This window comes from Homo sapiens, chromosome 12, assembly GCF_000001405.40.
Source record: "Homo sapiens chromosome 12, GRCh38.p14 Primary Assembly".
Taxonomy (NCBI): domain Eukaryota; kingdom Metazoa; phylum Chordata; class Mammalia; order Primates; family Hominidae; genus Homo; species Homo sapiens.
Genome location: NC_000012.12, coordinates 114,389,096 through 114,413,458, shown reverse-complemented (window position 1 = coordinate 114,413,458; position 24,363 = coordinate 114,389,096). Strand labels below are relative to the sequence as shown.

The 24,363-nt window shown below is 49.9% G+C and overlaps 1 protein-coding gene and 1 long non-coding RNA gene across 5 annotated transcripts in view, besides 3 other annotated features; one reads left to right on the top strand and one right to left on the bottom strand.

Moving 5' to 3' along the window:
• On the bottom strand, nucleotides 627–5,264 carry TBX5-AS1 (TBX5 antisense RNA 1). Its single transcript, NR_038440.1, has 3 exons — nucleotides 5,174–5,264; nucleotides 4,452–4,631; nucleotides 627–3,993 (listed from the first exon to the last, which is right to left on the bottom strand). It is a non-coding gene; the product is annotated as a TBX5 antisense RNA 1 (long non-coding RNA).
• Nucleotides 3,627–4,167: an enhancer, noted in NCBI's record as "H3K27ac-H3K4me1 hESC enhancer chr12:114847097-114847637 (GRCh37/hg19 assembly coordinates)". NCBI's record gives its function as "activates a minimal SCP1, AML or CMV promoter by ChIP-STARR-seq in naive H9 embryonic stem cells {active_cell/tissue: H9 hESC(naive)}" and the evidence as "EXISTENCE:reporter gene assay evidence [ECO:0000049][PMID:30033119]".
• The window catches only part of TBX5 (T-box transcription factor 5), a 54,532-nt gene continuing 35,185 nt past the window's right edge, over nucleotides 5,017–24,363 (top strand). The window contains exons 1-6 of one of the 4 annotated variants that reach the window (NM_000192.3): nucleotides 5,017–5,645; nucleotides 9,523–9,707; nucleotides 11,539–11,633; nucleotides 13,827–13,946; nucleotides 14,739–14,886; nucleotides 18,566–18,718. In NM_000192.3, the coding sequence (NP_000183.2) occupies nucleotides 9,561–9,707; nucleotides 11,539–11,633; nucleotides 13,827–13,946; nucleotides 14,739–14,886; nucleotides 18,566–18,718 (663 nt within the window). In that variant the 5' untranslated portion in view covers nucleotides 5,017–5,645; nucleotides 9,523–9,560. Of the gene's footprint in view, nucleotides 7,131–7,314; nucleotides 7,832–9,522; nucleotides 9,708–11,538; nucleotides 11,634–13,826; nucleotides 13,947–14,738; nucleotides 14,887–18,565; nucleotides 18,719–24,363 lie in introns of those variants that run through there. The other 3 variants (XM_017019912.2, NM_181486.4, NM_080717.4) reach the window with 3 other exon arrangements.
• Nucleotides 6,888–7,388: an enhancer, noted in NCBI's record as "H3K4me1 hESC enhancer chr12:114843876-114844376 (GRCh37/hg19 assembly coordinates)". NCBI's record gives its function as "activates a minimal SCP1, AML or CMV promoter by ChIP-STARR-seq in primed H9 embryonic stem cells {active_cell/tissue: H9 hESC(primed)}" and the evidence as "EXISTENCE:reporter gene assay evidence [ECO:0000049][PMID:30033119]".
• Nucleotides 7,427–8,113: an enhancer, noted in NCBI's record as "H3K27ac-H3K4me1 hESC enhancer chr12:114843151-114843837 (GRCh37/hg19 assembly coordinates)". NCBI's record gives its function as "activates a minimal SCP1, AML or CMV promoter by ChIP-STARR-seq in primed H9 embryonic stem cells {active_cell/tissue: H9 hESC(primed)}" and the evidence as "EXISTENCE:reporter gene assay evidence [ECO:0000049][PMID:30033119]".

The following is a 24,363-nucleotide window of genomic DNA, read 5'->3' as shown; positions in this document are numbered from 1 at the left end:
AAAACCAGGTTACAATGGCTCTTTCCTGGCCTGCCATAAATGTTGGCTATTATTGCACCTCAAATGCTAACAGATTTGTGAGCCTAAAATACTCACATTGCTCTCTTGGTGGTTGTGTAGACATAAGTAGGACTCTTCTAAAATATTAATGCAAAATGCTGGGGAGGGAAGGAAACAGGAGGCGTTGGGTTAGAAGCGGGAGCCTCTGTAGGCTGCCTGGGCTCTCAGAAGAGAAAGGAATGGGTGGAGGCACTACAGAGCCAGCCAGCAGCTTTGAGGGACATTAGATGTCCTGTTGGAAACAGGGGGAGAGAAGTTAAATTTTGTCTTTCCTGAGCAGTCAGGAGAAAGATGGGGTTGGCAGCAGAATGGAACAAAGCTGAGAGAGGACCCAGAGGAGGAGTAGCTCCCGTCCCACCGCCAAAGACCTCTGTCGGCACCTGAGGCCTGGACGCCTTCTCTCTGTCACCCTTTCTCTCCTTGCTGCCTGCATCGCTGCCAAACCCTGCAGGCGCAGTGCCTCCGAACCGGACACAAGAAAATCAGCCTGTATTATCCACTGTCCACCCCAAAATGAAAAGATCCACTTCCCCCTCCCCTCTGATAAACATTCAAGAAGAAAGCAATGCAATCAGAAATATTATTTTAATGGTATTTCTATTACATCCACAATTGAAATTTTTTTCTAAGAAGAAAAGGAGAATAATGTATTCTTTTCACTCCATTAGCCCTTGCAGACATTAATGCCACAATTTCTAATGCTCAGACTTTTCTCCTTCCATTTAGAAGAAATGGCCCCAGGCAAAGAAAAAAGTTGCCTGGACTGATGTGGGGAGCCTCCTATGCAGATAGGTGTAGTTAACAGGTGTGAAGAGATTAAGTGACACCTAAAGTCCCAGGTTCCTGGCTGAGATGTTTGGGCCACGGGTTTCGATTAAGATACACCATAGGCTCTACACGATCGGCCCTGGGGTCAGCATTCTGAATTCAAAGATGGGGCTTTTGCTCAGGACCTGAACCCACCTGGTACTAAATCTCAATTTTCTCCCCTGTTTAAAAAAGGGGGCAGTTTTAAAAATCCCTGCTCCGTTGAACCCACTAAGGAGGCTCCAGAAAGTCAAGAACGATTGGCAGAAACGCTTTTCAGGCCTCAGACTGCGCAGCCAATTGCACGAATGTCCTCGGGGTACCCCATTGTTGAGAGCATTCGGTGGGACTTCCAGGTCGCCATGGTGACCAGGAAATTCAAGGTCCCTGCGGAAACAATCGTCAGGAACTTTTCCACTGGAAACTTCAGTCAGTTGCTCACCACAGAGACCCTCTGTCAGTTGTTTCACCCCAGTATGTTTTGGGTGTGATTTGGGAGAGGGAGCAAGGTGTCTGGGGTCCCTGCTTCCGGACCCTTCTGTTAGGATGTCACCAAAGGCCAGAAACCCAGCACCAGGGAGCCACAGGAGACTGGCTGGAGAGGAAGAAAAATTAGAGGTCTCGACCAAGCAATTGTTTCAGTGACAGATCCTTCCAGATTGGGGTTTGGCCTCCCTCATCACCCACACCCCCACCTACCTCCCTTCACCTCCTCAAGATCATTACTAGAGTTTTCACTCACAGTTCCAGGTGGGGTGGCGGCCTCCACTCCCACCCATGTATAGCAGAGCTCTGTAGCTGAGTCCTGTAGTGTCCTCTCTCAAGAAAGTCTCTCCCCAAAAGAGAGGCCTCAAGGATGTAGAGATTAGCTGTCCTGATTAAACTGGTGATTTCAGAGTCTCTTGACAACAGCATTTCAGGTTCTCTTGACCCAGCTAGGCCCAAGTCCGAAAGCCTGATCAGACCTTAGGAATTTTGTAAAACAATGGCCTGGATGATTTAATGGCCTGGATGATTTTGGCCATTGCTTGAATATTGCCTGAATTGTTGTTTTGATTTGGAGGACATCAAGATGAGTTTTCATAAAGAGGGTCATTATGATTACAATTGTTATCTCCTTTGTTTTCTTTGCCGCTACAAATTCTGGATTTCTGCAGCACAGACTTGGAGACAGACCCATGCCCCTTCTCCTTAAATAAAGCGCTTTATGAAACATCAGATCGAATTCTCTCCAGTGGGGATGCCTTGCTCTGTGAGGCCTGGCTGGTTGGAAAGAGGCCCGCGGGCAGCCAGAACTGGAGTCGAAGTTTCATCTCTGGTTTTGACTCTGGCCCTTTGAGCGAGCTTAACACGTGTGGATTTAATTTCCCTTTCTTTCTTGCTTCCTTTTCTTTCCCCCCACCCCCACCTTGTGAGGGAACAAGAAAAATAGTCTGCTCTGTCGACAGCGCGACACTGTTCCGTTTGCCAAAGAAAATTTGTCTTTCCAGAGTCCCAGAGAGCAGTGGGTTCCTATGTTTCCAACGAGCCCTTCAATTGAGGGAGGAGGTATCCAGACAGGCCCCCCACCTTCACCCCAGACCTAGACATATTAGTTTGAGTCTCTCTCTTGCAGGGTTACAGACCTGGAATGCCCTATGTTTCTTCCCCCTACCCCAAACATTTTGGGAGACCTATCAGTGGGTTTTGACCTGCAGGATGGTTGAAGTTCTTAGGCTCAGTGTGACCCTGGGGGTACTCCATGGTCTCCCAGATGGGACCCTCACCTTTCTAGGCTGGGCACTTCCCAAATTGGAGGAGATAAGAACAGTGGCATCCTTGTGTCCAAGCACCACTCGCTTCCACCTTTCTGCTCTTTGAAGTGTGTAAATTTTTCGCATTGGGATCCTTCTCAGCTGGGCCTCGAAATGATATCCTCTCTTCCAGTTCTCATTTCATTACCCCGAACAGGAAAAACAAAAAAACAAAAACAAAGAAGAACCCAACCACCACCACCACAACAAAAAACCCTCACCCTCCAAACTTGGAGAGTAAAGAGGACGATTGTCATCTAAAGCACACAAAGCAACACTAACATGAATGAGGAGAGCAGCGATAATAATTCTTGGTGGAAATATTGGAGGAGAGTATTGGACACTCAATAATCATAATAATAACAGCCAGTATTCTTCCCACATACTTCCGGTCAAAAGTGGGGAAACCAGAAACCGAATAAAACATTGGGAAGAGACATACTGTGTTCCTGGAAAAAATATAACAGAGCCAGATTTAACTCGGTGAGAGGGAAAGTGACCCCCTTGAGAAACCAGGGAATGTCTCACCCTCAGACCAACCCTTTCTTTTGCAAATTGAATTGGTCAAAGTTTAGTTTTGTCATCATTTCTATTGTTATAATTCTTATTCATTTTCCCAGCCCCGTCCACACTTCTATTTTTCACTACCCCCACGCCCCACAAGTTGCCACCGGGTCAGGTGGGGACATATCCGGAGAGAAATAGAAAGGGATGCATTTTAAAGCGAGTTCTCTTTTGAGAGGAAAACAATGGGTAGTTTTGGAAGTGTCTTTCTTAAAAACGGAAGGAGAAGGTGAAGAAAAAAATTATCAACAGCAATGGGCCCCTTTGGTTTGGGTTTTGACTTTTTAAAGAGGAACCTCTGCTGTCCTGTTGCAGTATTAAAATCAGGGCAGGAATTTTGCAAAATGAGAAAAATAAACTTCGGGAGAAAACCCAGCTGGGAGCAGCTTCGGGAAAGCGACAGTTCTCCGAAAGGAGGAAGGGAGGATGCGCGCTGTAGCCGGCTCCGGAGTTTACTGCCCGAACGATTGGGGAAAAGAACGAGGATTCTCAAATCTAGTTGCGATCTCTCGTCTCTCCTTTATTCTGTTCGTGGTGCGGGCTTCGGAGCGTCTGGGAAAGCCAGTCTGTGAAGCTGGACTTGCAGAATCCTTTGAATGCCGGTCCAGGTGGCTGCAGGGCCCGCAGTCCGGGATGCCGGAGAAAGGAACCACAAGGAAAAGACGCTACGCTCGGAGTTTCCCCTTTTCCTTGCAGCCCCGGCGGGGCCTAGGCCTCGGTTTCCGGCCCACCTCGGCTCAGAGGTCAAGTAGGAACTCATCTCGTCGACCTAGGGTTTGGGAGAAGGATTTCGGGTTGCGTTCTTGGCATCTGGGAGCAAACACGAGCCTCGGATTTGGGGACATATCGTTATTAACAGCTTGGGAAACGAAAGCGAAGCTCGGGGCAGCCACTGCAGCCTGGCTGAGAGAAAGGACGCGGGTTGTGCTCTCTGGAAGCAAAGGGGTCTGCGGCCCAGCTGGCCTGGGAGCTTGTGGCCGGCGCTGGAAGCTGCCCGCTCTCCCCGCGGGCCTGACCTTGGCTCCCGCCGCAGCTCTGCCGGCCGACTGCCTCCCTGCACATTTTGCTGCCGTTCCAGTCCTTACAGGACCGGGCCTGGAGCCAGGCCATGCTTCGGAAAGCCCTGGGGGTTGGGGACGCGCAAAACCCAGAATCGAACCCCGAAGCTGGGGGCAAGTCCAGATTCAGACGTCCAGCTCCCTCGGGACCCCTTGGCGGAGAACTTACCCTTCCGGAAGGCCCGACGCTCTCCGGCTCTGTGCTGGGCAGGCCTAGCTCTTCTCTCGGCGCCACCAGGGGCGTCTACGCGGTACGTTTTGCAACTCAACCTAGTGGGTTTCCAGCGGTGCGCAAAAGTTTGCGAGCATCCACCACTGCGCTGCTTAGAAATTGTGCCCATTGATCAGACTAAAAATAATAGTCGTCGTGATTACAAAACAAAATAGAGTGCCTCGTGCCTCGGCGGGCCCTGGTACAATAATTATTCTCTACAGAAACCACCTCTCTCCACTCCCACCCCTACTCCACCACCCACTCGCACCCCGCCCCTGCCGGGCCACTCTGGGACGAATTGCATTCTTGGACCTTTCTCTCCGCAAGGCACATTACGGAGAACTCCCTCTGTCTCGTGTCCCCTCCACGACAACCCAGTAATTATTTCTATGCAAGTCTGCAAGAGGGCACTGAGTTATCGCATCCCAAGCCTAACCAGCTAGAGCGGCGCCTCGGTATTCATTTGCCCAGAGCTCCTCCGCGGGGGATTTAAAAATAATAATAATAATAATAAGGATCCCATGCCTTATGCAAGAGACCTCAGTCCCCCGGAACAACTCGATTTCCTTCCAATAGAGGTCTGAGGTGGACTCCCACCTCCCTTCGTGAAGAGTTCCCTCCTCTCCCCCTTCCTAAGAAAGTCGATCTTGGCTCTATTTGTGTCTTATGTTCATCACCCTCATTCCTCCGGAGAAAGCCGGGTTGGTTTATGTCTTTATTTATTCCCGGGGCCAAGACGTCCGGAACCTGTGGCTGCGCAGACCCGGCACTGATAGGCGAAGACGGAGAGAAATTTACCTCCCGCCGCTGCCCCCCAGCCAAACGTGACAGCGCGCGGGCCGGTTGCGTGACTCGTGACGTCTCCAAGTCCTATAGGTGCAGCGGCTGGTGAGATAGTCGCTATCGCCTGGTTGCCTCTTTATTTTACTGGGGTATGCCTGGTAATAAACAGTAATATTTAATTTGTCGGAGACCACAAACCAACCTTGAGCTGGGAGGTACGTGCTCTTCTTGACAGACGTTGGAAGAAGACCTGGCCTAAAGAGGTCTCTTTTGGTGGTCCTTTTCAAAGTCTTCACCTGAGCCCTGCTCTCCAGCGAGGCGCACTCCTGGCTTTTGCGCTCCAAAGAAGAGGTGGGATAGTTGGAGGTGAGTTTCACCCTGGAGGACTGAGGGGGGAAATAGGTTTCTCTTTGCACTTGGCCCTCCTTGGCTTTTCACCCCGTCTTAGTCTTGCTGAATCTTCTCTTGCTGTGCTGCTACTTCTCATGAACGAAATAAGAATGGCTTCGTGTGTCACCTGGCAAGAATGGATTCTCTCGAAAGGTTTGAAAATCCCTATTTTGCTTGGTGGCCCAGACCATCTGTGCTCAATGAGCTAAGCAAATCTGGCTGGGCTATTACCTGGGAGAGTCCAGATTTTTCCTCTCTGGAGGGGCCTGAAGATTATTTATGGGAATTAATTTTATCCCCAAATCTCTGAGAACTTAAAGGGATTGGGAAGGTCTTTCTGGATTTCCCTTTCCCTCTACTGGAGATGTAGCGGTTCAGCCTTCTTCCGATGCCATGTTTGTTTTTCGTGTCTTCGGCCTAGGGTCGCCTTGCCAGCAAGCCTAAAGGCCTCCAAGCTGACTTGGAGGGTGAGGGTGTTTTCACAAATAAATACATCGCCTGGGCAAAGGGAAAATATCTGTTTGCAAACAAACCTGGAAGGTGGAGTGAGCACCATAGCAAAGGAGGGCTGGCTTTCTCCCCGGTTGCCCCACATTCAGGGTTGGAGATTCTCCACTTTGGCATTTTGCAGCAATGGCCTGGCCTGGGATTTTAGCAGAGCAGTCACAGAGGGTTACACAGCTGCTGACCTCGGGGCATTTCTCCTCCCTCCATCCCTTTCTCCAGACCTTGACTTGCAGGCCCAAGTCTCTTATCAGAACCCTAGAAAAATCAGTATGATGGGGGTACAGGAGGTAAGGATGGGAAACAGAACAGGACTCCTGACATTTACTCCAAGCACCAATATTCGGTGTCCCAATCTGGGTCTGCTCAGACTGAGACCTACTGACTGTGTTTGTGCTTTTATTGACCTCTTCAACTCACCCTAAAAAAAAAAAATACATCTCAGAGAGGGAAAGGGCAAGGAGAGGAGACCAGTGGAGATGAAAACCCTAGCCAGTCCCCAGTGACTGTTTGATTATTTTAATAAAACTGGGCACTGCCTTGTGTACACCTGGAGCAGGGGACGTCTGGTGGCCCCACTGGGTGGGGGGTGAGGGCCCGCAGCGATTTCTTAGCATCTTTGATCTCGGCCCCCATCCCAATGCACCTTCACCCTGCCTTCACCCCAGAGTCGTTGAGAGTAGGGGTGATGAGTAGGGGGTGGAGGGGAGATGTCAGGAAGGCGAGCGCCGGCCAGGCGGGGTCAGGCAGCTCTCCTTCTCGAGGTCAGCGTTGGAGAGAATGTCTGCAAGGCTGCGGAGGCCCGCGGTGTGTTTGTGTGTGTGCGTCCAGACTCGGTTCTCTGCACCGCCAGCGTCACTGAGATTACTTCCCGATTAGAAGCCGACCGCGTTTGAAATGATTTGTGCAGGAGTTTTTGCAGCCACCGCTTGCTCAGAGAAGCAGAGATGGATGGAGGTTGGGAAAGGGGTAGAGAGGAGGGAGTTATTGCAGGTCTGTGTTGAGAGTCGTATTGTGATTTGAGTGTTCGGGAAATCTAGTGGAAATTTGGGGTGGGGGGAAGGGAGGACGGGAGGGTGGGAGGGAGAGAGAAGGGGGAGGGCGACAGAGTGCAGTGGGAGCTAGTTGGATAGGCGATTTCAGTACTTTGTGAGCATCGAGGCAACCCAACGTCACTGTGCTCAGCTGAGTTGGCTTGTATTTCAGAGAGAGAGAGAGAGGGAGAGAGAGTGAGAGAGACTGACTCTTACCTCGAATCCGGGAACTTTAATCCTGAAAGCTGCGCTCAGAAAGGACTTCGACCATTCACTGGGCTTCCAACTTTCCCTCCCTGGGGGTGTAAAGGAGGAGCGGGGCACTGAGATTATATGGTTGCCGGTGCTCTTGGAGGCTATTTTGTGTTCTTTGGCGCTTGCCAACTGGGAAGTATTTAGGGAGAGCAAGCGCACAGCAGAGGAGGTGTGTGTTGGAGGTGGGCAGTCGCCGCGGAGGCTCCAGCGGTAGGTGCGCCCTAGTAGGCAGCAGTAGCCGCTATTCTGGGTAAGCAGTAAACCCCGCATAAACCCCGGAGCCACCATGCCTGCTCCCCCGCCTCACCGCCGGCTTCCCTGCTAGGAGCAGCAGAGGATGTGGTGAATGCACCGGCTTCACCGAACGAGGTAACCGTCCCGGCAGATGGCCCGGGAGGCTCAGGAGGGAGCTCGTCGGCCGAGTCGGCTGGGGCGGCGGGAATGGCGGATTCCAGCCCGGCTTTGCATTCTGCAGAGCACAGCTTGCAGAGATTTTGCGCGGCTCGGAGCTCCCCGGCAAATGGAGTCTGGGAGGCCGCCGCGGCTGGCGGAGCGGCATTGAGGTTTGCAGAAGCACGGCCTGGTTCTGTCAAACCGCATCTTGTTCGCCTCCGCCAGCCCAGAGCTCCCCGGGACCCTGGCGAGGGCGCGGGGTAGGATTCTCCCCGCGGCCGGCAGTGAATGGGAGCGCGTGTAGGGGCGCCAGCCCTGCTTTCTTTTGTTGTGAGTAGGCAGCGGGGCTCCAGTCGCCGCCTCCCTGAAGCCCCGAGAACGAGGCGAAGAAAGCTGCTTGCAAGTCAGGCCTCAGAAGCTGTCCTTCTCCTCGGCCCCATTTCTAGATCTCTGGCCACAGCAGGTCAGGGTGGGATCTGGCCGCTTGCTTAAGCAGCTGCTGAGGTTTTGGGGGACCATCGCTTGTGCCCGCTTCCCAAAGTCTTCCCGTTCTAGGGGGAATTCCTACTTGCGTATAGAAGAGATTGGAAGGAGATCAGAGAGCAGGAGACAGGCTCATCGGGCTTGAACAGCTCTGCGGCAGTTATTTTGTGTGTTCTAAGCTCATACGCCTGCAAACCCGGGCCGTTCTATGCATTGCGGGGACCCGGGCTGCAGATTCAATGTCTCCAGCCTAGGACTTATCCGAGAATGATTTTGTCCTCGCCAATCCTGAGCCTGAGCCTGCAGTTTTAGCAGGCCAGGCCTGGCTGAAGTTCAGAGAAACCCCTTTCGGCCTGGTCACTCCACAAAATGCCCGCCATCCCCCGCCCGGCATCAGAGCGCTGGTGGCGGGCACCCAGTGACGAGCCTTCCTCGGAACGGCTGCACGGTGACTTTCTTCATCTAGTCTTCTGTTTGGCTACTTTTTATCTTTTAACGAATCTTACTTAAGGTTGGGATAAAGAAAAGGATGTTTAATTTTAAAGGACTTTTAATGTTAAGGCCTGTAACTGGTAAAAGGTGTATATGAATTCTCTTTTGAACCTAGTCTCAATCTGCACAACCTTCCCCTTCTGTGTTTTTCTTTTTGCAAGAGGCGGGTTATTTCACACATTTCTGCCTGCTGCAGAAAACTATTCCTCTTGTGAGGTTTAATAAAAAGAGTTTCGACGGCATCTTGTAATTTGGCGAAGAAAGAAATTCTCTAAAGGACACTGGGTTTTTGTTTTGTTTTGTTTTTGGTTCCTACCCAGTGGCTTCCAAAAATACCCACGCCTTATCTTTATTGGCTCTTCCAGAAGTCCAGACAAATTTGACGGGCAGCTTGCTTATCACGGAGAGCCTGCGCAGGGGAGATGCGGGCCTCACCTTCTCCGGGTCTGACGCGGGTCTTTTGCAAGAAGTTGTGCCTGCTTATAAAGTAATAGTAATACTACTAGGAATACTAGTAACAGTAATAATTCTAGGGCCTTCTGCAGTCACCTTCGGCTGGGAACGGAGGTGCTGGTAGCTGGAAACTGGGGGCCAAACTGCTCCCTCCTGTCACTAGAATTGTGCTCTCCAACCTTTCTCTCGTTCTCTCTCTGTCCTCCCCACCCCCATCTCCCCCTGCTTCTTGTCCTCAGAGCAGAACCTTGCGCGGGCACAGGGCCCTGGGCGCACCATGGCCGACGCAGACGAGGGCTTTGGCCTGGCGCACACGCCTCTGGAGCCTGACGCAAAAGACCTGCCCTGCGATTCGAAACCCGAGAGCGCGCTCGGGGCCCCCAGCAAGTCCCCGTCGTCCCCGCAGGCCGCCTTCACCCAGCAGGTAAGGAGACCTCGCGCTTCGGGTCCCTTTGCAGAGATCAAAGTCAGAGTCTGGCTTTCCTGCTCGGCTTCTCTTGCGGGGACAGAACAAAAACAAAATAAAAAAACCCCAAAACGAACCCAACGACTATAATCATCCCTTTTCCTTTTTATTCCCACTCAGTTCCACCTTTCTCTGCCCTGTCTCCCCAAATGCTAGCGTATTGCCATCTACTTTATTGTGACGGTTATCTTTACGGCCAAAGGATTTTTGAAATCTATTTAAATTGTTCGAGAAATCTCAATTATCCGGCCGTTTGGGGTCAGCTAACAATGGCCTAGATAATTCCTTTCCCTCTGCACTATGTGTAGAATCGGCCCCCAGCATCTTAATAAGGGCCAGGTCAGCGGCCGATTCAGGCCGGCATGAGCGATGGCTTGACCCCTCTTCTGATCTTCCGTAGCCTTCGCCTCCTCCCGCCTCCTCCTGCCTCCTCCTGCCTCCTCCGCGCCGCCGACTAGACCCGCGCGCCGCACCATTTGTCTTGCGGTCGGGGCCTGGCTGGCTGGCGCGCCATCACCGGCCGCTGGGAGCGCACAGAGCTCTGCCCGGAGGGCACCAGGAGCCTCGGGTTCGCCAGGCTACAACCTGGGCCCAGGCAGAGGGAGGAGCCTCACCTTGCGCTCTGCGCCCAAAACCCAGGACGCACTGGGCGCTCAAGTCGGCCCCTCAGTAGATCCTGGTAATTTTTAAATAAGGTGTCACATGGGGTGAAACGGGGTGACGACCAGAAGAGACACTTACACATGGCTAAAATCCTGCCTTGGGATTTCGATCCCTTCCTGGCTTTTCCCGGCTTCTCTCTTTGGCCTTTAAGTTTCAGGAAAACGTGTGTATATTTGTAGAGAAGCAGAGAGCGTGAACACAGTTTAGGAAACTTAGGGATTTTTTTTTTTCTTTTAAGGAAAAGCAAACCCACTTTTTAGACTGTTGTAAATTATTCCAAAATGAAGAGTTTGTGTGTGCATGTATGTGTGTGTGCACATATGTATATATATGTATATATATACATTTGCATCGGTTCTGTAAATTTAGTTTTAGCTGAAAGCCAAAATGTTAAATGGCATCAGGCGTGTCCTATAATCAAAATAGCTGGATGTGAATGGAACTACTTGTAGAGAGAGCCTGGAAGGTTTGTTAATATAGATATTTAGGATTAATTATCCTTCTGGACTGTAAGAATATATGATAATACAAACATTTTTAGGTTTCAAAATTCATGTATGTTCAGGTTTGCACTCACCATGGTCGAGAATAAGCAAGTATTTGCACATCTGTATGTTTGATGTGTGGGCATCTGAGTGTCTACATGAGAATATTCTGAGTGGTTTTCTAGATTAGGTTCCTAGTTTTTCTAAATTAGGTTTTTTATCTATCCCCCCCACCCATCTCAGGTGAAGTGGATTGAAATTGGCTCTGGTTTTTTTTTTTTGGTTTGTTTGTTTGGTTGGTTTTTTCTTATTCCGGTCCTCCTCAGTGACATTCCGGAGCACCCTGATGGTGGGTGATCACTCCATAGCCTTGTGCTGATGGCATTAGAAGCAGACAATACAGCACTGTGGGTTCAAGTGGTTGTTGCAACCCTCAGGGATTCAGCCTACATAGGGATCCCTGGGCAGAGGCTGTTGGGTGCTCCAGATAATTCTGCAGTGGGCTGAAGCCACTTTTTACTCTCTGAGACCACAGGCTCCAGCGGGAAGGAGGAGCAGTCTCTGTGTTTTGGGGGAGTTTGGGGAAGGAATGCCCACTACTGCCAGGGCTTGTTAGTGTGACTTTTTTCTCCTTCTTGCAGGGCATGGAGGGAATCAAAGTGTTTCTCCATGAAAGAGAACTGTGGCTAAAATTCCACGAAGTGGGCACGGAAATGATCATAACCAAGGCTGGAAGGTGAGATGGTTTGTTGTGTAGAGAGAGGGACGAGGAGAAATTGTGGGAGAGGTGAAGAAGAAAAGGTGGCTTGGAAGAGAAGAAGGAAGGAAAGGGGCAAAAGGAGAGGGAATATAGAGAAAGAAGAGAAAGGAGAGGAGAGGAGAGAGAGAGCGAAAGATAGATCCTGGTTAAAGAGGCACAAGGAGATTCCTCCATTGATCTCTCCTAGGATGGAGGAAATACTCCAGAAGTTCAAGCCCGGAAACTGGGCATTTCTCCCACCTCACATATAGAAAGAATAAAGAGCTTGGGAGGCCGTGCTATCTGGATTCGTAATGAGGGAAAGAGAGAAGAGGGAAAGGAGAAAACAGAAAACAGAGACCCAGAGAAGACAGAGTCTAGAAGGTTTTTGGGTTTCAGGGATCTTGGACTTTATCTTTACTCCAATCCTCATTCCCACCCTCCCTGACCTTGGAGTGGCTCCAGGGTCCCACCCGATTGTCAAACTCTGAATCGTTGGATGTATTCGCTACCTCTTTCATTGTTTATAGAAAGCAGGCGAAGCCTTTAAAACTGAACCGGGGCTCGGCCGGGCTCTATATACAGACACCAATAAACACGGCAGCTTCGCCAAGACACTCGCCCCGGAGTTCCCCTTAAAAGCTCGCAGAGTTTTAGCTAGAAATGCTAGACTTCTGGGGGAGGAGGAAGGAGAGTGGTGCAGCTCTGTATGTCAGTGTGAGTGTGTGAGCATGTGCACGCGCGCGCCCAGGCCTGGGGACGTCCTGGCCACATCCCTACCCGTGCTGGACGGGTCTTCCGCGTCCCGCAAAGCAAAAAGCCAGAGGATGCCCCGAGCAGGCGTGTGGAGCAGGCGAACGGTAGGCCCAAGCCACCGAGTGTGTGAAGGGGGAGGGTGGAGCCGCCTTTCCAGACGCCCCCCGCCCCCGTTCTCCAGCCGAAGCCTCCCTCAATAAACTGACAACAGTGACATTTATTATTATTTAAAATTAAACAAAGTCTGCTCCCCGCTCGGCCCAAGGCCTGAGTGAACTAGGAGGCGCGTTCTGTTTATATCAACGAACTGCAGTCCTCTTCCTATTCCCCCAGGAAGGAAAGACACGTCCGAGTCCCTCTTTCCCCCCGAGCCTGAGCCGTGAGGATTTAACTATAAAAGGCCTGCGAAGTCTTCTGCGCCTCCGCCTCCGGGCGCGCTCGCTCAGGCTGATAAACACTGCGAGGCTTTGGCTCCGGGGCTCGGAGGGAGAGGCCTCCATTCGACCGTTCCCGCCATCGCTGAGTGAGCCGAGATCTGCCAACTTGTCTTTTCGCCCCGGGCCAGCCTTGAGAATCTTTGCTTTCTGGGGCATGTTCCTCAGAAGGTGGAGGGAAATTTGGAGTGCGCCAGGGCGCAGAAAGGCAGCAGAGACGGCACAGTTCCGGGCCATCGGCTTGATAACGACTGAATCTTAGTTCAGGCCTCAGCTTTTTCTGAAACCAGATCTGGAAGGGTCTGGAATTTCTTTGCTGAAGGCCAAGGAATTTCGACTCTCCGAGGAAGAGTTTCAGGGGCCTTGGAGAAGTTGTGGGGGCATTCAGGAATAAACTCCTGCTAGAGACCCATGTCAGAGGTCATTAACCGAGTTATACTGGGAACCGCGGCCTTCCCCTTCCTCCAGCGGCAGAGGACCAAAGCAAGGTCGGGAAGCCTGGGCGCACCCACGCGTGTGCATCTCTGGGGCGCACACACCTTGTGTACACGTGACACCTTAGCAACGCGAGGATCGGCGGAAGCACCTGGCTAGACAGATCCTCTAGGATCAGCGCCTAGCATTGTACCTAATAAGCCTCCTCTCCCCACAAATATTAATAATAGGTGTCTGGCTCCGAAAAGGGCGGTTAGCAAGAGTTGAAATGGAGGTCCCTTTGAAGCATCTTCAAAACCCGTTCTCTAGAGGCGCATGCGTCCTGGTTTGTTTTCCGCTTAGGTTACCTACAGTTGCCCGCCTGCTGTTACCTCCTCCCTTCGCCTTTCTCCTCCCTATAACTTCAAGGGAAACCCGGGATGGATCTTGCGGAGAGCGGAACGGGGCTAGTTTCCGCTTCCACGTTTCTCCAGGAATTGCTTTTTCCCTTAAAATGGATGGAGGCTGCCTTAAAATACTGGCATTAATTCCCGCCCCCCTCTCTCCCTCCGTCCCTCTCTCTTAGGCGGATGTTTCCCAGTTACAAAGTGAAGGTGACGGGCCTTAATCCCAAAACGAAGTACATTCTTCTCATGGACATTGTACCTGCCGACGATCACAGATACAAATTCGCAGATAATAAATGGTAGGCACTGGGGTGGCAGGTGGAGCGGGGAGAGAGAAAAGTGGAACCTTCTCCCAAAAAGTTGAAAAGTTGTATCAGTGAACTTTTTTTTTTTTTTTAGTTCCTACTGTGTGCTAAAGGCGTCTGTCCGCCTATCCCATTGCTTTTTACTAACCATTCTCAGACAAAGAAACTACAACAATTAGCTCCGGTTTTCCAGATGAGAAAGCGGAGGCTCAGAGGAAGTGAGGTGCCTGTGTCTATTGCTGCACCCACAGGTTGTGGATTTTTACAAAGGGTATTGTTACCAAGTGCTGGAGGTATTTCTGGGGGCATAAAACCATTTACAGTTATTTTTTATGAGTTACCTGCTTTGAACATGCATTTTTATGAAATTGCAAAATCGACTCGTGGTATTCGAGTTAAACAGTTAGGAGAGGCCCATTTCTTGGGTAGAATCGTTCCCATGGCTGCCAGCAGTGCAGGGGCCTGACGATGAAACCCCCGTTGAAAGCCCTCAAGGAATTTTCAAGGCTTTTTGCACGTCCAGACCTCCAGAACCCGCCACTTTTTTGTGGGATGCGAGAGGCTGTAAGAAGAAAGGGCTGGGCCAGGGGCTTGCCTGGGCGCAGGCACAAAGTATTCTGGGGCAGCTGGGATTGCAGATACCTAAGGGAGACGGGAGAGCCTCCAGATTATTCCCAGCTACTACTCAACAACCCTCACCTGGTGCGTGAACTGAAGCACGCTTCGGTGCAGTGCGCTACCTCCAGACTCTGAGCCAGGCCTCTAGTACACCTCTCCTTCATCTAGGTCTGTGACGGGCAAAGCTGAGCCCGCCATGCCTGGCCGCCTGTACGTGCACCCAGACTCCCCCGCCACCGGGGCGCATTGGATGAGGCAGCTCGTCTCCTTCCAGAAACTCAAGCTCACCAACAACCACCTGGACCCATTTGGGCATGTGAGTACCGTGGCCTGGATTCCCCGCCTTGTCTCCCTCTTGTCCTCTCTCCCTTCTTCTCACTGGGTTTCTCTCCCTTCTTGGCTCTGTGTGCCTACATTTCTCCTTTTCTTTCCTCCATTTTCCCCCACTTTCGTCGCTTTCTGCCTCTACCTTCTTGATCTGGACTTCCTTCCTCTTCCTTTTCCTCCCCTCCGTCTCAATTCTCTCATTCCTTTCTCTTCTTTCACCTTCTCACTTGCTTTCCCTTTGCTTTCTTTTTCTTCCTACTATTTCATCCTCTGTCTCCACTACTCTCCTACACAGACATCTGCCCCTCTGCAGTCCTCCCGGTGATCCACACTCCCCAGATCTGGGTCTGTCGTTCCTTGGTGGCTGGAGATATGGCCCCCGGCTCACCTGGTCTGGGGCTGCATCCTTGCCGTTAGGGCCCAAACCCTCTCCCTTTGCCTAGGGATGGAGGAATGATTGAAGCTGCTCATTCCAGGCCTGGAGAGTCTGTGAATTCGATCTGTGGTTAGGAGTGGAGGGCTGTGTTTCAGTCTTGCAGAAAATATGGACCTCCTAGCCCAGTGGATACCCAGTATAGACTGCACAGAGGCTGGACCACAATGAAAGCCATATACCTTCCCTCCCCACTTCTCAATCCTGCCTTAATTTTGGGATGTTCCAGGGGAGAGGGAGAGCCCAGCTCACCTGCCCCCTCTTTTCCAGATGGGAAATGAACTCATAAGAGAACTATGGTGCCAGTGCCACTTTTTAGCTTGATACTCCCGGGGAGATCTGTTTTTTTTCCAACAACCAGCTTTCTCCCTTTCCACACTGTGCCCAGAGCAGGCGAATGTAAACCAGGGTCCTAAACTTGGAGTCTGGATTGGACCCAAGAGAGGGGACTGGTGAATTTCCTGAAACTGAATGCAGGGTATTGAATGTGCAGCCTGCTCACCACCCAAAAGAATGTGTAGGTTTTAGTGGATTCTTAGTAGGGTCATCACCCCTCTTCCCCAAAGAAAAACAAAACACAAAACACTGATTTTTGAAAAAATGTCCCCAAATCTCATCGTAGAAGATAATTAATTACTAGAACAGAACACGGATTCTGTATTCACGTTTAGAACTTTTAGCTGGATGATTCTGCCATACAAGTGGGTACATTCGTCTTGGGCATTTGATTCTCACGGCAGCCTAGGGGGCGGACGGGAGGCATAGCTTTTGCACAGGAGAGTCCAGGGGACGGGGGTGACTTGTCAAGGTCCTACAGCTTGTATTTGGGAGCAGAGATTTGCGGCTAGGTCTCTCTAATTACAAAAGGAGTTCCCTGTCCTGGAAGGTTGTAGCTTCAAAGAGGAGCAACAGATAGGCGCATGGTCGCCGATTTCAGGGAAAGGAGGGGACTGGGAGGGAATGAATTTGGTCAAGGGGGCGGGGGAGGATGGTTTATGAAGGTCCAAACGAGAAATCTGCTCCTTTGAGGCCTTGGGGCTGAAGCACTGAAGTCCCCAGGATCTGGGATGGGAAGAGGATCTCAGGGGTCCACACTGATGGGTAAATGCAGCTCTCAGCACGTGGGTGGAGAGGAAAAAGAATCATTCACTCTCTGTGCAGCCTGCTTGGAGCGCTCGGAAGGCATTCCCAGGCAAATGCAGAGCCACTCTGTTAAACCCGGGTGTTTTGCCCACGAGTCCTTCTTGCTGGGCTTCCCAGGAGGTGCTCTGTAAATTCAGCTTGTGTAGGCATTGGCTGACCCGCCCTGGCTGTGTATCTGCCAGTCCCCAGCAGATGCCTTACCAGCACCAGGGAAAACCGGAGCCATTTCTAAAGGTTCCACATGCATCTCTGGGCTGGCTCCTTCTGGAGGATGGGACCCTTGGGTGGGGTCCTGCGTGGTCCTTGACGCTGGGAAGTGGGACGGTTCCCCAGGCTCATTTCAGCTCCTAGCTTTTTCTCTGCTCCTCTGGAGTGCCTTTGGGGTCTCTCTAGGGCGGATGCCTGCGGAAGGTGCACAACCCCACCACCAAATTCCTGGCATCCCTGCCAGCTTCAGGACGTTCCCAGCTGGGGAGAGGGGCTCGGAGCTGCTCAGAACTGCCTAGAAGCCAGGCATTCCCACCCGAGACTCCGGACTTTTAATTCAGAGCCGGCCTAATGAAATTAGGAGCCATTAGATCGCCCTCGCGCTGATGTCTCCACACTGTCCCCAGCCGTCAAAGCAATTTGGCTAAGCCGGGCCGATGGCCCCGCCGGCCGGGGACTGTGGCGGCCAGCGGGGCCCCGCTGCGTCTCTCTGTCGCCACGCCGCCCCGGTCGGCGTCGCTATCGGCCGGGGAGGCGGCCGGGCCACGGCGGCCGGAGATTAGAGACGCGCGGCCCGGGGTCGGGCAGCCGCGGGGCCCGCGAGTTCCTCGTCCCTCCCCCGCCCCCGGCCGCGGCTCGCCTCCCCCAACTACCTCCACTCGATCGGGGCCGGACTCCAGGGTTGGTCCAAGAATCTTGCCCCAGGGTCATCAATGCAAATAATCAAAGTCACAGAGACAACCTCCGCAGTTCCCGGGAAAAAGCAGGCCAGATTTTCAGGCTGTTAAACGCGGCGATTCGCAAGTTCGGTGGGGATGTGTCAGAGCGTTCTGGTAAATACTAGCGTCATCAGAACAACAAACCCAGTTTTATTGGTGAGGATGCTCATCTGTGACTAGCCCTGGCTCCAGCAAGAACGTGCAGCCTGGAAGTCCTCCTCCTCCTCCTCTTCCTAATGATAATGGTGGTTGTAAAAATTACAGCACAACTACAGCAGTTAGGACCCCTCTTGTCCCTGGGAACACCCCTAAATATGGGGAAGATAGGAAGTAGAAAGAGAATATTCCCGAAAAAGCAGATGTAGCCGTTCTGTCTGGGGCCAAGCGTGGAGATAATTCTGGTTGTGGATCCTGAAACGTGATAAAGCTGGAGAAAGGGAGTTTCCAAGGCAACCAGCCCCTTCTTTGAGGGGTGTGGGTGGTGCTTCCTCCCCACACCTTATGAGCCGACATCCTTGGAGGGCAGATCACCCGTGACCCCCAAATATCTTCTCTTTTCACGAACTCTGCTTTGCTTGTTCTCCAAACAAAGGCCCCAGATTTGAGGTCTGATCACCCACCCTAAGCCTCAGAAAAAGGCTGTGCAGAGAACTGGTGATTTTTTTTTTTACTTATTTCAGTTTTCCAAACACTTGATATCTTCTCTTGCATCCCTTAGAGATTTGGGGAGTGGGGGTTATTTCTATGTTTGTTGTTTGTTTGTCCCCGTGCCCCTACACCACCTGTCAATCCAAAAGTGCCCTTGAGGCTTCCCTCCAGACGCGGATTCCTCGATCCAGACTTGCTCAGCTCCCGTTGGGGGTGGGAAGTGCCCTATGCAGGGAGTTAATTTATTAAGCAAACTTTATTAAGAATTCTGATTTACTGCTCTGTGTGCCTTGGGTAGATTCCTGGAATATTACCCTGGCTTTTTCGGTTGGAAATTGTTATTTTTGAAATGTTTCTTTTTAATGAAATCCCTGGCCCCTTTTCAAAACAGAAGAAAAATATCTATTTTTCGAGAGCCGATATAACAAGGCGAATTTAGAGGGCGGGGAGCAGGGTTTTATCTGGAGACAAAGGGAGTTTTGATTTTCTTACAATCTCATTTTCTTTATTATTTTTAGATTATTCTAAATTCCATGCACAAATACCAGCCTAGATTACACATCGTGAAAGCGGATGAAAATAATGGATTTGGCTCAAAAAATACAGCGTTCTGCACTCACGTCTTTCCTGAGACTGCGTTTATAGCAGTGACTTCCTACCAGAACCACAAGGTAAGCCTGAAGCCCAGGAACCAGTGCCTGGGGCCGTCTGCTCTTTCTTTTGCATGAATCTGCAAGGTTTTCCTGCTGGAACTTTGCTCCTCTGAATGGCAGCAGTCACCAACTTCGACCCCAGGGTGCTGGGGTGGGGACAAAGCTGCAGCCTAAGAGTTTCAGCTGTTTTTACTATATCCACGAGCTTGGCTTGACAGTCACCACCACACATATGCACCCACACCAGTTAGAAACAAACTTGTCAAACCATAGATGGGCCACACACTCAAATACCACAAGAAGGCATCCCACTGACCTTATGAAATGCCTAGTGGGAAGAAAGGTTGCTTAATGGCTCTGGTGCTGCCATTTCATTTCTGGGCAACTGTTTCTGCTGGGGTCAGTTTTCTCCTCTCTGCCTTTTTAATATTTTTCACTCCGAGACAGGGTCTCACTCTGTCTGTCACCCAGGCTGGAGTGCAGTGGCACAATCATGGCTCACTGCAGCCTTGACTTCCCAGGCTCAAGAGATCCTCTTGCCTCAGCCTCTGGAGTAGCTGGGACTATAGGCACACACCATCATTATGCTCAGCCAATTTTTAACTTTTGTTTTTTGTAAAGACGGGGTCTCTCTATGTTGCCAGGACTGGTCTTGAACTCCTGGCCTCAAGTGATCCTCCCACATTGGTTTTCCAAAGCGTTGGTATTACAGGCATGAGCCACTGCACCCAATTTTGCCACTCAACTGGCAACAGCACAGGTGGCAAAGTTGCCGGGATCCTTAGGATTGGACTTTCCTGATGCTTCCCTAATTGTTTCAGAAATCACTGACTCCAGACCACATTCTTGGGAAAGGTTTGCCTTGTTAAAATGAAAACAGAGCAACCTGCACCACCAGCAGCTTGGGATAACACTCCCAAGCTGGACTTAGACAAAGAGCCTGCAGAACCACAGCTTGGTGAGGGGAGGCAGACCTGCATTGCTTGGGAGAAGGTGGCTGCAGTTTGGTGTAGGGGCGGTATGCTGTCGCATGGATTGTGTGAAAGTCAGACCCCATGAGGTTCAAAATCCAGGCACTGGTTTTGGCATTTCAAAGCTTGACAATGACTTTGGAGCAGGCTGCCTATAGCGGCAGGTTGGAGGGTGGGGGAGGATCTTCTCTTTTTCCTCAGGAGAAAGTTTGTCTCGACTTGTCAGGATTCACCTCTGTTCCTTAGATACCCGAGTGCATGTGGATTCATTTTATTGTGGGTGGCAGGAGGGATTTAATGTTCTAAGCCTTGGTATGAAAAGTTCTAGAATCTGGAGAGGCGAGCAATAGGTGCTGGGGGAGGGGCCCCTGCCCTCGTGCGGTTGTAGACTGTTAGGAGTATTAAGCAGTGATTTGGGCTTAGAAGGCTCTGGAAGGGCAAAGTGGGAGGGGGGTCCATATGGGATCTGTGAGGGCAGGTCACCTAGATGGATGTGGAGATGGTGTGCCCCTCCCTTTTCTTAGCTACAGTCCCCACCAGCAAGGCTGGGGTGGAGGGGGAACTGCAGGAGCTGGGGACTGGACAGGAGAGGCCGGAGAAGGATGAGAGGAAGGCTTAGCACCCCAAATCCTCCCCTCACCCCTCGAAGGTCATTCCAGTGCAGGCTGGCTTGGCAGAGAATACCCCAACTGAGGCCGGGACTGTTCCAAAATGCTGTGGCTAATCTCCAAATCCAGATTGTCTGTGAACAGGCCAAGCTGTGATAGACAGTCCTTTCCAGGCCACAAAGCCTGTCTGGGAACCCAGGTCGAGAGAGAGCTTCCTGCCCTCGGAAAGAAAACTCATTCCCCTCAAGACACCATTCCTTTTTAAATGGGTAGGAGGATTTTTCCGAGTATCCTTCCACCTGTTGAACCAGCAAGAGCAAAACCGAGGGTCGAATGCCCTGAAAGATGCAAAACTATTTCAGGCCAATTTGAGTCTGTCTCCTTGAAACCTGTTTCCCTCAATGGCTGCTGTAAACCTGTGTTTAGCTTTGCGGTGACGGTCACAGGAAAAAAAAAATAGCAATAAGGAAGCTCAATTCTTCCTATATATGTATATACTTACATGCTCTCAGACCAGACTGGGGTCCAAAAATATATGAGATCTTTTCCCCCTCTACCCCAAGAAAGCCCAGGTTCATACAGGAGGATAGGAAAGGGTAGACATATAAAAGTGACCGGCTTAAAAAACCATCTGAATTCTCAGGTCCTTTGGAAGAAACACCCTAAATTCTGTGTAGTTATGTTCTTAAGACTCATCAGGTGTGGATAGATGTGGGAAAACTCACTCCCTCTCTCCCTCTTTCTGTTGACAGCCTTATTGAGGCATAATTGTCATCTAATAAACTGCCATATTTGAAACAGACAACTAGATAAGCTTCATGTGTATATATATGTATACCTGTGAAACTGTCACTGCAGCCATTTGTGAATATGCCCAACACCCTTTACATTGCTATTTAAAAAATTTCTTCCCCAATACACGTATTTAGTGATTGATGTGCATGAATGCCTGCCTGCCCAATGGGGTGTGTATGTGTGATTTTTTTTTTTTTTTTTTTTTTAGCGCAATCCAGGGAATCGTGTGTCTGAATGCTCACAGGTCTAAGAATGTGTGTCTCCAAATACGCATTTGGATATATGCGTATTTCACGGCCACACTAAGTGTTCACACACAATAATTGCTTTTTTTTCTGTATTGATTGAGTCAGGGAGCCCAGTTGAGCTGTGCATAATGTTCTGTTTAGCCAGCCTGACAGATTCCTTGACATCCGGGAGAGAAATTTCATGGGAGACAACTTTCTGTTACCCTCCCCCACTTCTTCCTTTAGAGCACCAAAGACACCTATTTTCTTTTTCAGGAGCAAATCCAAAACTGTGCACTTTCCCAGTCAAGTGCAGGGCCCCTGCAAACATTTCCCACGTGGATATATGATGTGTGATTTAAATAAGCGGGCCAGGGTTGCATGTGATTTGTGGACTCAGTCTTGCTACTTTATTGTCCCACCTGGACTGGGTGTTGAGACTTCTGACTTCATGCGTAGAAGCCAGCTGAGCTCACCATCGCATAGGGTTAAGGTGGAGGACTGTGGAAGCTGACTGCTTGGGTTCAAACCTATCTGACTTTGGGCAAATGACTTAACTCCATTTCCCCACCTGTAAAATGGGGATAATAAGAGAACTCACCTCATAGTGTTGTTGTGAAGATTCAATGAGATAATTCCCGGCAAGTGTGTCATGTGGGACCTGGCAGAGAGCTAGCACAGAGCATTAGTAATGATTGATGGACCATTGATTGACTACTTAGCAGATCAGTTTATTAACAGGGCGACTCCATCCAAAACACAGACTTCGGAAAACTCTTTGTTTACTCATTCTAACTTCCTGGCTAGTTTAGAATCTGAAAGACTGGGAATTTAAATAAGTTCTTATTCCTGTGGTTGAAAAACAACTGCAAATATTAGTCTTTGTGGTTTAGTTGGCTCATTCCCTGATCATGTTATCAATTCAAGGACTATTTGTCTAGCGTTTTGCCTTGGATAAATGAGCAGGGAAAAGAAAAGCAATGCATGTGATTAAATTGCCAAGACAATTTGGAAAAATAAGGGCCACCGTTTTTATGGTCAAAGGGCCCAGTGCCTTCAGAATGATCTGTCTCTATTTGGATGTAGGTACCAGGTGGAGGTAGGTAGGCTACATGGTTCATTTCTTAGGCTGCAATCACATACCCATATACCACTGGGCCCCTAATGACGAGACACATTTCCTCAGCCCAGCTGTGATCTCGGGCTGGATTTGGGACTTATTTCCCCAGATGGTTGACAGCTTAAAAAAGATATTTAAAAACTCAAATCTTCCCCAGCGACGTTCATTCTGTGAAACACGTTTTTGTAAAGTTTTCACTGCAGTTGTCAGCAGCTCCCAGTGCAATCCCTAGAAATATTTAGGTGTTAAAAAAAGGTCACGTGGGCATTTCATTTCCCTGTTCTTGCAACAATGGCTGTGTATGCAAGCAATGTCTATCCCCAGATATTAACTTAACTTTGCCATTAAAAGGCATTTTCCTCCTGCTTAAATCATTGTGTAAGGAGTCTATATTTATGAGGTATGAGCTTTCTGGTTCAGACCAGGAAATGAACCCTTAATAGAGAGACATAATTAAGATTTTTGGTCCTCGTGAGGGTTTTAAAAAATTTTTTTCAAAAGCAAGAATTCACAACAATTATTCTCATTAATTTTTACAACCTCTGTCTCAGTTGGAGCTGGTATTTATGTTTGTTTTTCCCCCACTCCCAAATCTCTCCCGGATATCCGGTTTTATGTTGATTTTGAAGGGAGTACATTTGCATGGTGAATAGAAGTCAGTTTCAGTGAAGCCTTTTGGTGGAACTGGGAAATCCAGGTGTATCAGTTTGTGTGCCCATGATCTAACACACAGCATATTAGGAAGGGAACTTTATAAACATGGTTACAGTATGTGAGTGGACAGATATTTTGACCTGCAGACAATGTATGTTGTATGTTGACATTTCTCAAGGGTAATTCTTAGGTCATATAGGCATCTATAATCAGTTTCCAAAAGAAGTTACGTGTAAAGATCAACATACCTAAGTGAATATATAAGAAATTGTGCTTATCCTGTGCAATCATATTTTTGCAAGCTATGATGGTAAGTGCAAGATTGGGTAACAGCCAATCTGTTTGAGGTGCAAGGAATGGATTTGAGCAAAAGGTTTTTGCTGATAACATAAAATTCACCCTTTTCTTCTTTCCTTGGGGCAATTTTTTGTTCTGAGTTCTTGGTGGAGCATGGACATCATGGACTGAGCACTAATTCTCATGCTGAGATCCTCACTAAATTCTGGTGTCACAGCCTCACCATCTTCGACATTTACTTCTGAGACTGCGGTGGGGCAGGCTGGGAGGTGGGAGGAAAAGGTGTCCTTCATCCACTTTTTTTTTTTTTTTTTTTTTTTTTTTTTTTTTTTTGAGACGGAGTCTCGCTCTGTCGCCCAGGCTGGAGTGCAGTGGCGGGATCTCGGCTCACTGCAAGCTCCGCCTCCCGGGTTCACGCCATTCTCCTGCCTCAGCCTCCCAAGTAGCTGGGACTACAGGTGCCCGCCACTACGCCCGGCTAATTTTTTGTATTTTTAGTAGAGACGGGGTTTCACCGTTTTAGCCGGGATGGTCTCGATCTCCTGACCTCGTGATCCGCCCGCCTCTGCCTCCCAAAGTGCTGGGATTACAGGCGTGAGCCACCGCGCCCGGCCTTCATCCACTTTTAAATGATCTATTTCTCCTTAACTTTTTGCAAGTCCATTAAGAGATGATTTATGGTCAACTGGGTGAAATTTCATTGTGATAAAAGCTGAGTGAGAAAGAAAAGTCCCATTAGATGTTGGGTTTTTAGACTCTTAAAATACAAGTGAATACAGGAGTACACATCTTAAGATGACTTTCCAAAAGGATTTTATAGATTTTTCTACTCATTCAGAAGAGTCAAGAAAAAATCTGAGGCCAAGCGTGGTGGCTCATGCCTGTAATCCTAGCACTTTGGGAGGCCGAGGTGGGTGGATCATTTGAGGCCAGGAGTTCAAGAGCAGCCTGGCCAACATGGTGAAACCCTGTCTGTACTAAAATACAAAAA